The 17,045-nt window shown below is 38.5% G+C and overlaps 1 pseudogene across 1 annotated transcript in view, besides 1 other annotated feature; it reads left to right on the top strand.

Moving 5' to 3' along the window:
* Positions 1–12,255, top strand: part of ANKRD20A19P (ankyrin repeat domain 20 family member A19, pseudogene) — a 42,032-nt pseudogene extending 29,777 nt beyond the window's left edge. Inside the window, exons 4-5 of the transcript NR_073430.1 lie at positions 10,298–10,441; positions 11,165–12,255. The product of NR_073430.1 is annotated as an ankyrin repeat domain 20 family member A19, pseudogene (transcript). The remainder of the gene's footprint in view (positions 1–10,297; positions 10,442–11,164) is intronic.
* Positions 15,580–16,079: an enhancer, noted in NCBI's record as "H3K4me1 hESC enhancer chr13:24477599-24478098 (GRCh37/hg19 assembly coordinates)". NCBI's record gives its function as "activates a minimal SCP1, AML or CMV promoter by ChIP-STARR-seq in naive H9 embryonic stem cells {active_cell/tissue: H9 hESC(naive)}" and the evidence as "EXISTENCE:reporter gene assay evidence [ECO:0000049][PMID:30033119]".

Here is a 17,045-nt window from a genome sequence, read left to right as displayed (position 1 = left end):
AATAGTGATTCTTCCAATCCATGAGCATGAATGTTTTCCCATTTATTTGTGTCATCTCTGATTTCTTTCAGCAATGTTTTGTAGTTCTCTTAGTAGAGATATTAACTTCCTCAGTTAGATGTATTCCTAAGTATTTTTTAATGGACATCGTAAATGGGATTGCATTCTTGATTTGGCTCTGAGCTTGAATGTTACTGGTATATATAAATGCTACTAATTTTTGTACATTGATTTTGTATCCTGAAACTTTGCTGAAATTAAAATCATTGAACAGTTCCAGGAGCCTTTTAGCAGAGTCTTCAGGGTTCTCTAGGTATAGAATCATATCATCAGTGAAGAGAGTTTGACTTCCTCTTTTCCTATATGGATGCCTTTAATTTCTTTCTCTTGCCTGATTGCTCTGGCTAGGACTTACAGTACTATGTTGAATAGGAGTGGTGAGAGATGATATCCTTGTCTTACTCTCAAGGGGAATGCTTCCAGCTTTTGCCCATTCAGCATGATGATGGCTATAAGTCTGTCATAGATAGCTCTTAATATTTTGAGGTTTGTTCCTTTGATGTCTAGATTGTTGAGGGGTTTTATCATGAAAGCATGTTGGATTGTATCAAAAGCTTTGTCCACATCTATGGAGATAAACTGTGGTTTCTTGTTTTAATCCTGTTTATGTGGTGAATCACATTTATTGATTAACATTTGTTGAACTAACCTTGCACCTCAGGAATACAGCCTACTTGATCATGGAGAATTAACTTCTTGATTTGCTGCTGCATTCATTAGTATTTGTTTGAGGATTTTTGCATCTATGTTCATCAGGGATATTGACCTGTAGTTTTCTTGTATAGCTATGTCTTTGCAAGATTTTGGTAACAGGATGACACTGTCTTTGTAGATTGATTTAGGGAGGAGTCCCACCTCCTTGATTTTTTTGGGATTAGGTTCAGCAGAATTGGCACCAGCTCTTCTTTGTACATCTGGTAGAATTCAGCTGTGAATCCGTCAAGTTTGTGGCTTTTTTTGGTTGGAGTTTTTAAGTTTTTTAAATTACTGATTCAATTATGGAACTCAATATTGGTTTGTTCAGGGTTTCAATTTCTTCCTGATTCAGTCTTAGGAGGTTGTGGGTTCCCAGGAATGTACCCATTTCCTGTAGATTTTTTAGTTTGTTTGCATAGAGGTATTCATAATCGTTGCTGAGAATCTTTTGCATTTCTGTGGGATTGGTTGTAATGTCATCTTTGTCATTTCTGATTGTGCTGGTTTGGATCTTCTTTTTCTGTTTGTTCAGCTAGCTGGTTGTCTGTTGATTTTCTATCCTTTCAAAGACCCAACTTGTGGTTTCATTAATTATTTGTATGGATTTTTGGGTTTCCATTTGCATTCAGTTTTGCTCTTCTTTCTTTTCTTCTGGTAGCTTTGGGGCTAGTTTGTTCTTATTTTCCTAGTTCCTCTAGGTGTGATGTTCAATTGTTAATTTGAGATCTTTCTAACTTTTTGATGTAGGTATTTAGGGCTACAAACTTTCCTCTTAATACTGCTTTTGCTGTATCCCACTGATTTTGGTATATTGTGTCTTTGTTATAATTTATTGCATGGATTTTTTTTTTATTTCTGCCTTAATTTTGTTGTTTACCCAAAAGTCATTCAGGAGCAGGTTTTTTCATTTTCATATAATCATGTAGTTTTGAGAGATTATCTTGGTACTAATTTCTATTTTTATTCCATTGTGATCAGAAAGTATCATTGGCATGATTTGTATTTTTCTAATTTATTGAGACTTCCTTTATGACCAAAAATGTGGTTGATCTTGGAGAATGTTCTGTGTGCAGAAAAGAAACATGTATATTCTGGGGTTGATGAACTGAGTACTCTGTAGATGTCTATTAGGTTCGGTTGATCAGGTGTACAATTTTGGTCTAGAATTTGTTAGTTTCCTGCCTTGATGATCTAATGCTGTCAGTGGGGTGTTGAAGTCCTCCACTATTGATTATGTGGCTGTACAAGTCTTTTTGTAGGTCTAGAACTTCTCATTTTATGAATGTGGGTGCTCCAGTGTTGGGTGCATATACATTTAGAACAGTTAAGTCTCCTTGTTGAATTAAACCTTTTATCATTATGTAATGCCTTTTTTTGTCCTTTCTTACTGCTGTTGTTTTAAAGTCTGTTTTATCTAAGAATCATCACCCCTGCTCTTTTTGGTGTTCTGTTTGCATAATAGCTCTTTCACCAACCCTTTACTTCAAGCCTATGGGTGTCATTATGTGTGAGACGGATCTCTTGAAGACAACAAAGAGATGGGTCTCGATTTTTTTTTATCCAATTTGCTACACTGTGCCTTTTAAATGGAGGCATTTGGACTGTTGATATTAAAGGTTAATATTGATATGTGAAGTTTTGGTCCTATAGTAAAGTTGATAGCTGGTTGCTATGTAGTTTTTATTGCATGGTTACTTTATAGGGTCTGTGAGCTACGTAAATTAACTATGCTTTTGTGGTAGCAGGTATCATTCTTTCATTTCCATGTTTAGAAGTCCTTTAGGGATCTCTTGTAAGTCTTGTCTAATGGTAACAAATTCCCTTAACACTTGCTTGTCTGGAAAAGATTTTATTTCTCTTTCAGTTATGAAGCTTAGTTTGGTAGGATATTTAATTCTTGGTTGGAATTTCTTTTATTTATGAATGCTGAAAATAGGCCCCCATCCCTCGTGGCTTGCAACGTTTCAGCTGAGAAGTCCACTATTAGCCTGACAGGTTTACCTTCTCAGCCTTTAAAATGTTTTTCTTTAGCATTGACCATGGACAGTCCAATGACTATATGCCTTGATGATATTTGTTTTGCATAGTATCTCACAGGTGTTCTCTGGATTTCTTTATTTGGATGACCACCTCTATCAAAATTAGGAATGTTTTCTTGAATTATTTCCTCAAATATGTGTCCCAAGTTGTTTACTTTTCTCCTTCTCCCTCAGGAACACTAATAATTCATAGGTGTGGTTATGTTACATAATCCCAAATTTCTCAAGAACCCTATTTACTTTTAATATTCTTTTTTCTCTATTTTTTTATCTGACTAGGTTAGTTCAAAAGACTGGTCTTCAAGCTCTGAAATTCTTTCTTCTGCTTGGTCCAGTCTATTGATAAAGATTTCAGTTATATTTTGAAATTCTTTACATGAGTTTTTCAATTCCAGAAGCTCTGACTGATTTCTTTTTAAGTTGATTGTCTCCTTTCATTTCCTGGATTGCTTTAGAAGTTTCTTTGGGTTGATTTTAATCCTTGTCTTGGATCTCCTTGCAATCCATGCTTTGAATTCTTTATCTGTCATTTCTGAGTTTCCATTTTGGTTAGAGAACACTGGAAAGCTGGTGTGATCCTTTGGTAGTGTCACACTACATTCAGATTTTTCATGCCAGAATTCTTTTTTTTTTTTTTTTGAGGCGGAGTTTTGCTCTTGTTGCCCACGCTGGAGTGCAATGGTACGATCTCAGCTCACCACAACCTCTGCCTCCCAGATTCAAGCAATTCTACTGCCTCAGCCTCCCAAGGAGCTGGGATTACAGGCATGCACCACCATGCCCAGCTAATTTTTGTATTTTTAGTAGAGACAGGGTTTCTCCATTTTGGTCAGGCTGTTCTCGAACTTCTGACCTCAAGTGATCCGCTTGAGGCCACGGCCTCCCAAAGTGCTGGGATTACAGGCATGAGCCACTGCACCAAGCCTCATGCCAGAATTCTTATGCTAGTCCCATCTCATCTGGAAATGCTGATACTTCTAACTTTTTAAATTATTTTTGTGAGGGTAGGATTTTTTTTTTCTTTCTTTCCCTATAAAATTATTGCTTTTTTTTCTTTCCCCTCTCCCACCCTAGGGAGTGTGACTGTAGAGAATGTTAGGTAGAGTCTTTCGGCTTTGCTTCTTAGCCTTGTTTACCCTGTCAGCAGGTTTTATATTGAACTGTACAGTTCCACTATAAGCCAATAGATGACACTTACGAGTAAGAGCCAGCTGCAGCCAATGCAGTCAGGTGTATACTTGATCCTTATTTACTGGCAGAAGCCACTGTTGCCTCAGGCAATGAGTTGATCTGTGGAGTGCGCAGTGATCTGAGCTCCCTGCTTAGCCCTGGAGGGTTGTCTCTCCTTCCCAATCTAGATTCTTCACCTCTAAACTGTATCTATAAAATTTCTTAAGGTAGTCTCTGGCTTAGCAATTCATGAAATGAGAACTTTCTGCAGAAAATAGAGGCTATTGATTGAGTTTGTTGAAAGCTGTCTCTTATTAGATTTTTAATTCATAGGGTAGATTTTAAAGTCGCTAATAATTCTATGCAATATTCCTAATTTATTTCTATGAAAATGTACAGAAAAACCTTCATTATTTTTGCATAGGCTTAATAGGTCGTGAGTGTTCTTACAAAAGTTCTAGTTTCCCTGATAGGTTTAATCGGAATGATAAAATTGCATAAATCTTCCTATTGTGACTTAAGGAAACTCGTTAGTAGGAGCATCTACCTCATTGCTCCAATTTAGTATTCATGACACAATTTTCTGACCTTCATTCCTACAAAGGAAAGCATGAATGTCAGGAGAATTCTGTTTTGCTTTGTTATCATTTATATAGTTTTCACTCTACATCAATAAATTGATATCCTAGAGTATGTATCCATCTTTTCTGCGATTGGACTGTTAAGGCTTTGAAAGGCTGATGAACACAGGTGAATGGAAAAAGATTACTTTCTGAACATTATGTTAGGAGGACTATGTTACTCCCTAAGGCCCTCCTGGAGCACCCATTTCTACTTTTTCACTGGCATCTCTTTTCTTTTTTTTTTAACTTGCAGTAAGAAAAACACATGCTGTAGGGGAAAAAATACTTGTATAATGAAGTAGTATCCATTAGCAGCATTATTTCTAATGGCCAAAAGATGGAAATAACCCAACTTTCCCTCGATGCATGAATAAATTTTTTTAAAATGTATATATAGGCCAGGCGTGGTGGCTCACGCCTGTAATCCCAGCACTTTGGGAGGCCGAGGCAGGTGGATCACGAGGTCAGGAGATCGAGACCGTCCTGGCTAACATGGTGAAACCCCGTCTCTACTAAAAATACAAAAAATTAGCTGGGCACGGTGGCGTGCACCTGTAGTCCCACCTACTCGGGAGGCTGAGGCAGGAGAATGGCGTGAACCCGGGAGGAGGAGCTCGCAGTGAGCCGAGATGGCGCCACTGCCCTCCAGCCTGGGCGACAGAGCGAGACTCTGTCTCAAAAAAAAAAAAAAAAAAAGTAGGTATAAAATATTGATTTTAGACTATCATAATCTCTTTTATTAAAATGTGACTTTTATCAAAATCATTAACTTTATGAATTCAGTCAACTTATTCTATGAAGTCAAGAAGATTGCACTACTAGTGGCAAGTAGTATCAATATGAATAAAATATTTTTTTATCAATGAGACTTTTCACATTGTCTGAAATATTCTTATATACTGATAGACCCCCAACTTACAATGGTTCAACTTGTAATTTTTTGACTTCACCATGGTGTGAAACTATTGCAATTTCAACACAGTCTGAATTTTGAATTTTGAATCCTGATCTTTTCCCAGGTTGGCAATACGCAGTACATGGGATATATAATACTTTATTATAAGACTTTGTGTTAGACGATTTTGCCCACCAGTAGGCTAATGTAAGTGATCGGATAATGTTTAAGGTAGGCCAGGCTGTGATGTTTGGTAGGTTGGGTATATTAAATACATTTTCATCTTACAATGCTTTCAATTTACAATGGCTTTATTGGGATGTAACCCCATCATAAGTTGAGGAGCTTCTGTACTATGGGTTGAAAATCTCTACTCTAAAAACCTGAAGCTCCAAAATCTGACACTGTTTGAATGCAGACATAATGCCCCAAGTGGAAAATTCCACATTTGACCTCATGTGACAGAACAACAGCAAAACACAGTCAAAACTTTGTTTCATGCACAAAATTATTTTATAAAATCCTGTATAAAATTCGGGCTATGTGTATAAGGTATATATGAAATGTAAGTGAATTTTGTGTTTAGACTTGGGTCTCATTCCTAAGATCTTTCATTAAGTATACACAAATATTCTAAAATCAAAAGAATACAAAATTTGAAACATTTCTGGTCTCAAGCATTTTGGATAAGGGATATTCAATCTGTCTTACTAGAAAAATAAAATTTCTATTCAGTATGACAGAAATTTAAAAATTGACTTACCAAACTTGGACTTAACCGGTTTTTCTCAAACTGTTCATTTTTTTCCACTTGATTTTTGACTGGAATTTTTACTTGGAAATTTTTTATATTAAGCCTAAAAGGTAGATTTTAAAATAATTATCCTCAAAGATACATTTCTAAAATATCACATAATTTCTAAGCATCTATGATTATGTAAATTCTTAAAGAGTTGAAAAATAGATGATTGGGAGACTGTATCATTTTTCTACCTATATTTTGTGGGTAATGTGCAAAATTTAGGAATAACGTACAAAAATTATGCATTTCAAAATAGCTTAAAGGTGAACTTTATCCTTGGCTTCACACAGATGCGCTTATTATCCTCACTCATACAATTATCATACTACATTGTTTATTTGCTTTATAAATACTCAAGTTACTTTAACTTATGCTTTTGCATGTAGTCTTGAGTCTTTTCAGCACCTCCTGTAACATCTGTGATTTGATCCTTTGCTTCTTGCAACTAAAACAAATAATCATAATAATAAACTCTACTTATAATCTAGTACAAACCTGCCCATCACCTGCTTTTGTAACTAAATTTTATCGAAACACAGCCACACCTCTTCAATCTGCATATTGTTTATGGTTACTTTTGTACTGTAACTAGAGAGTTGAGTTGTTGCAACAGAGATCCTATTGCTCACAAAGCCTCACATAATACTATCTGATCCTTTACAGAAAAGTTTACCAATCCTGCTCTAGGACCAGAACACAACATTATTCTATTTTTCTGTGTTTAAATTATATTTGATTAGATAAATACTCAACTTACAAAATTTGTAAAATGGGAAAAGATAGGAAATTAACATAAGATAAACCTTTATATTTTTGAATTACAAGCACCGTTACATCAACTTATTTAATTTTCTTTGTGTGTACACATCTAGTTTGATTGTAATAACTTGTATACTTTTAACATTTAAAACTAGCATCTTTCCAGTAAAACAAAAAGAAAATTTAAAAATAAACAAAAACAAAACTACAATAGACAATGTCAATTCCAAATGAGATCCTGATTCTCCTGTTTAGCAACAGAGTTCAAGCCATCATTAGGAGACAATGTATTTTAAAAGTGTCATCTTAAACTGCAAGGATATTCATTAAACATCACAAACAAGGCATAGGAGAAGCCATGTTATAAAATTGCCCGTTTAGCCCACCAAAACATCTCAAACCCACCCTGGGCTGACCTTCTATAACTCCATTTTTTAGAGGTTTTTTTTTCTGTTTTTAAACAAGAGAAATTAGATAGACACATGTTGGAGAATGCTCACTGTTCTTATTCACATACAGACAGGATATACTGTCAGCCTAATATACAGAGAGAGGTGGGGAGAAAAATGTATTGTTATGCACTATTTCTTGGGAGCCTAGGCACCCTCTAGCTTTTAGCAGAGTGAAGAGTGAAAAAAAAAAGGTTATTTCATTTTGTTTTGTTTTCCCCCACACAGCTTCATGCTGTTGATTCCATACAGTGTTTGTTGAGGTACAAGGAGGAACAAAAGTAAATGTGAAACAGAAAGGAGTGGAGGTTATTTTTCCATAGTATTCTGCTCAAGCTATTTCCTCCCAAAATAAGTTGAGAACCATGGTGCAGATATGAAAGACCTCAACAAAAAAAAGGCCAACTGAGCACAAGAGGGGGAAAAAAAAAGACTACAACTTTCTCCTAGAGACTGGGCATAATTTTTTAAGTTGGAATCCATCAGTGTTCTGTGAGTCATCTTGTCCTTCTTCTTCCTCTCCTTCCTCACCATCATGATCATCTTCACCTTCATCTTCACTTTCTTTTGATCAGTATCTTTCAAATGTTCTTTCTTTCTTTCTTTCATTTCTTTCTTTCTTCCTCCTCCTCCTCCTCTTCTTCTTCTTCTTTTCTTCTTCTTTCTCCTCCTCCTTTTTCTCCTTCCTGTTGGCCTTCTTCTTTCACATTGTTATTATTTATATCAGGAGCCAAGTAGCACCATGCTCCAGCTCACTGATTGCTCCCCCCACAAACTGTTTTCTCCTCCACCTTCACCTCACATCAAGAGGCCTCAACTACAGTTTTAAATATTTACAGATGTAAATGACCCCGGCTATGCCAGTAATTATAGAAATTAATATGATGCTTTAGGTGGCAACCAGATGTTTCATGGAATAGTTTGAGAGGAAGTATCTTCACAAAAGCCAGAATGCCTCGGTCTGAATCTCAGCTCCAGCAGTTAATAGCTGTATGACCGTGAGCAAATTAACTTTCTGTGTCTTTTAGAAAATATATATGTAAATATAGAATTACATATAAAAATTTATATAAAAATCTATAAAATGAAGAAAATAGTATCTACTACACAGGGATGCTGGAAAGATTTAATGGTGGGATATATGTAAAGTACCAGAAGAATATGTGTCATGTACTGAGCTATCTATACATATGTGTGTGTATAATATTTGCTATTGGCATCATTATTTTTATTATATTTTATGTTCTGGTGACATGGCCAATGAAAGTGGTCTATACCTGCACTGAATCATTCTTCATGCCACTAAAAATTACAGCAAATGGGATGAGGCCCAGTACATCTTCAGTACTTCATAGAACCTTCACCAGTTCCAGTAGACAACAGTGCCTTTTTCTACTTACAATAATTTACAGATTACTTTTCTCTCTGTACTACTTAGTGGGCAATGACCATGTGCTACAATGCAAATAGCACCTCCTGGATTGAGTGGTATATAACTTACATGACAATCAGAGGCAGGCTAAAGCCACTGACCTGAAAATATCAGACTCTATTGCTAAGTCAAAGTTTTGCAAATCAATTCATTTGCAGCAACTGTCTATGTTGGGCTGCTTTAACAAGCACGCTGATGAGCAGATGAAAGTTATGTTATGTGGCATCTCAGAAAAGCTGCAGCCAGAGGTTTTCAGATGGTAAAGTGGTGTCAACCCATAAATCTCAGTTCTGGTTGCACAATGAAAGAAGGCAAATTTAGGTTTGTTTTCATAGTGAAAAAACATGAGCATTTGATTGAACAATTTTTCTCTGTAAGACTTCAGTGGTCTTAATTTTGTGTTTAGTTGCTTCAAATACACAAAATAAAAGCTTTACTACATCAATGTCTCAAAAAAAGAAAATATCGGTGTGGTATAAATATTTAATTGTATTCTAACAACTGTTAAGCTAAACTATTTTTGATTTATACAAACGTAAGTGACATGTATTTCACATATTATTCTCCTCTTAAGCAAATTTACAGTAAGATAAAATTATCTCCCATGAAAAAAAACTAAAAGCAATGTAGAATTAAGGGTGCAATTGTTTTGCACAGACTAGAAAATAAGTGTTGAAGCATAAGGTCAGACTCAGAACAGTCAGAGCAAGAAATATTGTGTGGCAGGTCTGAATGAATGAGGCTAAATGAACAGAAACTGAAAAAGCAGGAAAGACAGCATGAATAGGGAAGAGAGATGGTGAAATCAGCTCAATTAACCCTGAGGACAAAGTCCAGTGGTAGGGAGATACAAACATATGTCCATACAATAACTTGTAAATGAATGTTCATAGCAGCATTGAAAATAATAGCCAAAAAGTGAAAACAACCTAAACATCCATCAAGTGATGAATGAATAACTGGTATAGCCATACAGTAGAATATTATTCAAGAATAAAAAAAATGAAGTACTGATACGTGCCACAGTACAATTGAACTCTGAAAACATTATGCTAAGAGAAAGAAGCCAGTCGTCAAGGAATGACTCTATTTATATGAAATGTCCAGAACAGGCAAATCTGTGGAGACAAAAAGTAAGGATGCAGGGTTTCTTTTCAGGGTGGTGAAGACGCACTAGAATTGATTGTGGTGAAGTTTACACAACTCTGTGTGTATACTAAGATACACTTAGTTGTATACTTTAAATGGGTGAGCAGTATATGTGATTTATATCTCACTAAAGTTGTTTTTAAAAATCTAATGGCAAGATTAAGAGAATTTTCTTTCTTTCTTTCTTTTTCTTTCTTTCTTTTTTTTTTTTTTTTTGAGACAGGATCTCACTCTGTCACTCAGGCTGGAATAAAGTGGCACAACTGTGGCTCACTGCAGCCTCAACCCCCTGAGCTCAGGTCATCCTGCTACCTCAGCCTCTTCAGTTGCTGAGACTATAGGCTCCCACCTCCACTCCTAGCCTCAGGTAAGTTTCTTAATTCTCTGTTTTGAATGTATACACAATACATAATCTAAATATTAATATGCTTTTACAATTTTAAATTTTTTAAAATAAAGGAAATGTCCAACTTTTCAAACAGTTTGTAAATTAACATAAAACATTTGCATTTTGAAGAACAGTATCATGGCCTTTCTGTAATGGTTAACCTGAAATCCGTGAAATAAACAGGCACAGATTCTATATCTATTCACAAAAGTGAAGATAAAAATAAGATAATTTCTGGAACATTCCATGAAACATTCTCCTCTGATTTAATCTGGCTTGCCTTATGCTGGCAATAAAGAAGTCACTTAAACATACTGTTTAACAGGAAAAAAAGTCACTCAACTTTTGTGAGGAATGATACATAATTCTTAACTTTTCTAGGGGTATTATAAGAAAAAAATGTATGTAATTATAAGAAAAAAGGCATAATGAAAGTCACTATAAAGATACTAAAATTTTAATAAAATCAGTTATAATGAAGATACAAAAGAAAGCTGTCTTCTGAAATTAGTATCTTAAAACACTTTATATTGTTTAACCAGCTACAGATTAACTGTTGACATGTTAAATTTCACACATATCTGACTTCTGATTTGAAATAACTCCTGTGTCCCTTTTTCTAAATTAATGTGGTCACATAATGTAACCTCTAGGGAAGTCTCTGACATAGATGGTTTTTTTTTTTAATTTTATTTTTTTTAGATGGAGTCTCACTCTGTCGCCAGGCTGGAGTGCAGCGGCATGATCTCGGCTCGCTGCAAACCTCTGTCTCCCGAGTTCACGTGATTCTCCTACCTCAGCCTCCCGAGTAGCTGGGACTACAGGCGTACGCCACAACGCCAGGCTAATTTTTTTTTATTTTTGGTAGAGACGGGGGTTTCACCATGTTGGCCAGGATGGTCTCAATCTCTTGACCTCGTAATCTGCCTACCTTGGCCTCCCAAAGTGCTGTGATTACAGGCGTGAGCCACCGTGCCCAGCCCGACATAGATGGTTTTTTTAGGGTTACAGCGACTTCTTGTTGAAGTTGTCTCACACACCTGATAAAGTATTTTTGTTACTGATTTTGTAAATCACCTTATTATTAAATTTTCAATAATATCTAACTCTAACATACACTTGGAAAAATATCACCTCATACACAATTCACCTTCTTTTCCTCATGTGTACATATTCCTATTTATTACTGAATCCAGTTAAGGACACAGCAGGTGTTATCTTCCTGCCAAATAGATATTCTGTTACTAGACGACAGTTTTAGCCCACCATTCAGTCATCTGCTGATAATTCGGCGATGCTTAACAACCTGCTGAAGTCTCAAGAAAGCAGTGGATATGTGAGTGAGGCTGGCAGTGGTCAATTCTACACTGAGGAACGTTTCCCTCTTTTTCCTCTTTTTTTATTAGGAGCTCAAATCAACCTCAGGGGTCCTCAGTTATTCACTTGCCTGTCCAAATCTTTCCAATAGATTCCTGTCTCAGAATAAAAGAAAAATTCCAATGGCTTTTAAGGCCCTGTAGGTAACCTCCTGACCTCAGCTGCTATGAGTCTCTCTCCTACTTATGGCATTTCTACTATATGTGAATCCCACCTCCCCTCATTTGTCTGAAAATGAGGATCCAATGCCAGACTAAAAGGTCACAGATAACTACACTTATCATTGCTGGACAAAGCTCTATCCAAATGATGGTCAGTGAGCCTTCAAATAAAAATTATAAGCAAATTATATGTAATAATAGTAAATTATGTATACCAGTGGGAAAAATAAATCAAATATGGTTTTGGTAAAATTCACTCTATTTGTCCCAGATTGTTACTTAATAAAAAGTAGATGCCTTTTAAAAGTTGAGTGGTCATAACAACATGTAATTTGAAATCGAAATATTTTCAGATTTAAGTTAAATTGACATTAATAAAAATAAAATTATATTAACTAAAACGTATGAAAAGCTACTGAAGAAAAAGTATTACAAGATATAGCAATACACATTTATGCCATTGCCATATGTTATAGTAAGATATAGTCTCTGATACAGTTTGGATGTTTGTCTCCTCCACATCTCATGTTGAAATATGATCCCTGGTATTGGAGGTGGAGCCTAATGGGAGTTGTTTTGGTCATGGGGGCTGAACCCTTATGAATGGCCTGGTGCCCTCCCTGGAGTAGTCAGTAGTTCATGCCAACTGGTTTTTTGAAAGAACCTGGCAGCTCTCTCTTGCTCTCTTCTCTCTTACTCTCTTGCCATGTGAGGCACCTGCTCCCCCTGCACCTTCTGCCATGAATAAAGCTTCCTGAGGCCTCACCAGAAGCTGGGCAGATGCTGGTGCCTTGCTTGTACAGGCTTCAGAGTAGTGAGCCAAATAAGTCTCTTTTTGAATTACTAAGCCTCAGGGTTTTTTTTTATGGTAATGAAAAGCAGACTAATATTGACACCTTGAACACTGGAGATCATGAAAAGTCAAAGTAACAGAATATGGGCATTATCTCCCAAATTTGAAGTATACAAAAATATGTGAAGCAAATAATTTAAATTGAATATTTAGCCAAGAAAATAATTGATAAAAATGATTAAATATTTTCTTATTTTGCAATTAAAAATAGAAATTTGACACAATATGAATTGAAACTGGACCATCCATTTAAGACAATTTTAATTTTAAATTAGAAATTATGATGCTTATTTTATCTAACAATTTTATTGAAAGTTTAATCAGATGAGGAAAAATTATAATTACCTAATATTGCCATAGTATCTTACATACAACTACCTGTTATTCAACAAAAGCCAAAAAGGTAGCCAGTCTTGCAAGTTGAGATGGATCAAACAACTGAAACCAGTACTGTGTTATATCATTATATTGTTTGCATTTAAAATAAAATATAAAGACAACCACAAAAATTAAGTAGGGACTATAACTGCTGTGCAGAAGAGATTTCATAAAGCGGGCATGAGACTGTCATCCTTAGAAAGGCCTGCTTGCATGGCTGGCCTCTGCCTGGCATTTGGGACCTTGGAATTGGGAGAGTCCCCACTATTTCCTAACTGAGAAGAGTGGTTCACTCTGTCCTAAACTGTATAAACAATGCGGTTTACTCTGAATAGCTGCTTTCCTTCTGGGAGTCTGGAAGTTGAGTACCTTTGAGAGAGAGAAGCCTATGTGACTAGCCTCCATAAAAACTTGAGTGCTGAGTCTCTAATGAGATTCTGGTACTGGTAGACAACATTGCACATGTGTTGTCAAATTTTGAGGCTGAGGGAATTAAGTACATCCTGGTACCTCCACAGGAAAAGACTCCTGGAAGTTTGTGCCTGATTTCCTCCAGATTTTACCAAATACACTTTTTCCCTTTGCTAATTTTGCTTTGTATCCTTTGTCATAAATCCAAGCCCTGAGTATGACTATTTGGTAGGCCCTGTGAGTCCTTCTAGTGACTCACCAAACCTGGGGGTCTTCTTGGAAACCGTGACACAATTGCATTATGTAAATTTTTAAAAATTTAACTTGATGTGTTGTGACTATAATCAAAGGTTATTTCACAGAATACCTTTATCTAATCTGTTGTTCTTGATAGTTGCCTTAGAGATGTATTTCTATATTGGTTTTAATAAGGCCATAAAAGGGATAGAGAAAACAATTAGTGTCAGAAAATAATGTGATGAAGCTACAATCCTATTTTATACAAAATAAAAAATAGAGAATCTTGATGATTGACAGTCTGTTCTATAGTATGAAAATTTCTTGAACTAAACTGAAAATATCACAGTCAATTTTCTCCAACTCAGCAGTGTTTAATTCCTTTTTATAATTGTGCATCAGGCGGAGAGTGATGGCATGTACCTGTAGTCCCAGCTACTCGAGAGCCTGAGGCAGGAGAATCACTTGAGGTCAGGAGTTAAAGGCCTCCATTCTCTATGATTGCACCTGTGAATATCTAAGCTGCACTACAACTTGGGCAACATAGCGAGACATCTCTTAAAATGATAATAATAATAAATAAAATAACTCTACATTCAGGTTACTGGGATAATTGTAGAAAAGCATATAACCATTGGATATGGTATAATACTCTATTACTGATCATAGAGTTCCTTTTATTTTTTCCAGTCTTTTTCTTAATTTCTTATACAACTAAAAACATAGTTCACCTATTAAAAGCAGTTTTTCAAAAAGTCAAAAGAATTGCATCCAAAATGTATGATGAGTTATCTGCTGTTCCCCCTAAACAGTAGATTTTACCATTAAGATTCAATAAAACTTTTATTTGGGGATGAAAAAGCAGTTATCTTATATAGAGGTGGTTAAAAGTGTGGTAATCCATTCAAGAGCTCCATCTAACTGGGTAGGCGTGGGAGAAGGAAGCCTCTGAGAGCAACCTAGGAGGGCCGCTTGGCTTGAGAAATGTCAGTGGACTCAGTGTTGGAGTCAGAGGGATGTGGAAGGGAGCAGTGGGACGGGTCTGGCTTTTGCTAGGGTTGATGGAGAGGAGGCAAAGAGAACAGACTGTGCCCTCTGATTGCCCCAAAGGCTAGGCCCTGCCACAAAAGCTGTGCTAGTGGCCCTGTTCACTTGCCCTTTGGGGGTGAGTAGATAGAATTTCCTTCTCTAATTAGCAGCTCAGAAACGCTAAGTCAACAGCCCGTGGTTTGCTGTGGCTGTAATCAGAAAAGGATTCCTATGAAGGCTGCCAAGTGGTTACTCCCCACTTTTTGTTTCTTCTTAACATCCACCTGCTTCCCAAAGTGATCTGCTCCCCCCCGACCTTGGGCTGCACTGGGGAGGGGCGGTCGCTAGGGTGGGGAGGGGGCGAGCCCCAGAACCCACAGGGCAGAGCATGGTGGCTCCATGTATAGGAGGGAGTGAAAGAGATGGGGGTGGCATTTTCTTCCAGGAGAGTTGTGGGGAGATGACCTAACAAGCGCGCCCCTACCCCGCACGGGCGAGAGGGGCAAAGCTGGAGTGAACCCAGCTGAGCCTGGGCCGCCCAGCCCTGGAGGCTGGAGGCGCTGTGGTCAGGAAGCGCTCGGAGGATGGAGCCCTTTTCCCTGTAAGCAGGGGGCCAGGGTCTCACTTCTGAGCCGGCTTCCCACGGACCCCAGGCCCCGGCAGGGTCCTGCAGTGAGGATGATCATGCCCACGGGGTGGGTGGGGTGTTGGCAAAGCGGGGCCGCAGGGCAGGTTCTGGAAGCCACTCCGCGTGGCTGGGCTGGAGTGTGCAGACGTGGGAGAGCCCGGAATGGGGAGCGCGTGTCCGGTTGGAGGCCCGAGACTGGCCTTCCCTCGCTGGGTCTGCGCCGGCAGGCTGCCTAGGTGGGCCTGTCCCGGAGCTCCCCTGGGGCGGAGGCGCGGGAGGCGGGGAAGGGCCGGGCGGCGGGACAGGTGTCCCCAGCGGGAGGTCGGGAACCCGTCGGGGCCGCCCGCGGTGCAGCGGTTCGAGGCCAGGCGACGCGGGCGGGAGGGAGCTCGGCCAGAACTGCTGAGAGCCCCCAGCCGCGCTGGGACTCAGGGGCTCCCTGCCTTTAGCCACTAAGAGGCGGGGCAGGCTGCGGGGTGCCCGGGAGAAGCCAGATGCCTCTCATTTTACACGGACTAATTGGATCCTGCCGCCCGCCTGGGACCTCGGCATTGTCTTGTCCGCTGCACTGACGGGGAAACTGAGGCACGGTGTGAGTAAGGCGGGGGAGGGAGTCGCCGCCTCCGAGCAGGGGCGCGGCCGGTACCCACCCGCACACCCGGCTCCCGCGTGGCCTCTGCTCCTGCTCGGTGCACCGCGGCATCTGGGGAAACCGGGCTGGGCTCCTCTGTCCTCTAGAAGCTATTCATAAGTTTTAGATAAATGTTACTACTAAACACGAGGAAAGTGAATCCATGATTGGCATAGAACAAATGGTTGCACCGCGTTCTCCGCGTTAGATGGAGTGTGTGATTGTGAGTGAGAGGGGAATGGGCACTGAATCCTTACCTACACAAATGCCTAAACTCGTAAGGCATTACGACACACACATCTGAAAATCTAAGTGATAGGAATTCTAATGGTCTGGGATCCAAATGAGACCCAGCCACTGTTAGCAGCCTTCAGTTTTGTCCTGTTGCCCATAATTACCCCAAGGTCAGGGAGAAGCACTGAAGCAAAGGCATGAACATCACTTTGAAAAAGAAACCTGCCTGGGGCACTCCTTCCTTCAGACTCCCCTTGAAAGTATTCCCTCATTTCATTCAAAAGGAGTTAACTTTTCTAAAGTAAGTGGTGCTGGTAGAAGATGCTACCTGATTTAAGTGTTGCCGTAATTCTTGAAGCTCTTCGAAGACATCTTGGCCTTCCTCTGTTCCCTCCCCTTCCTGCTATTTTGCAGACATATCCACTGGGGAATTGTATGGCAGGAAGGCTGATTTTATTTAGCTGGTCCTTGATTCTTGGTTTGCGCAGTATCTGGGTCCAGCCTGCAGCCCTCGGGTCCAGGTAAGTTCATTAGGAAAAGATTTATTTACATTCAATTTAAGGCATCTAGGTCCTAAAACAGCACTTATATTATCTGTGGGATAATCCTGCTTATTAATTTGCAGAATAGTCAGATGTCTATAG

This window comes from Homo sapiens, chromosome 13 (genome assembly GCF_000001405.40).
Source record: "Homo sapiens chromosome 13, GRCh38.p14 Primary Assembly".
NCBI classification, from domain to species: Eukaryota; Metazoa; Chordata; class Mammalia; order Primates; family Hominidae; genus Homo; species Homo sapiens.
Note: the sequence above shows the minus strand (reverse complement) of the source record. Positions and strands in the feature narration are given on the sequence as shown.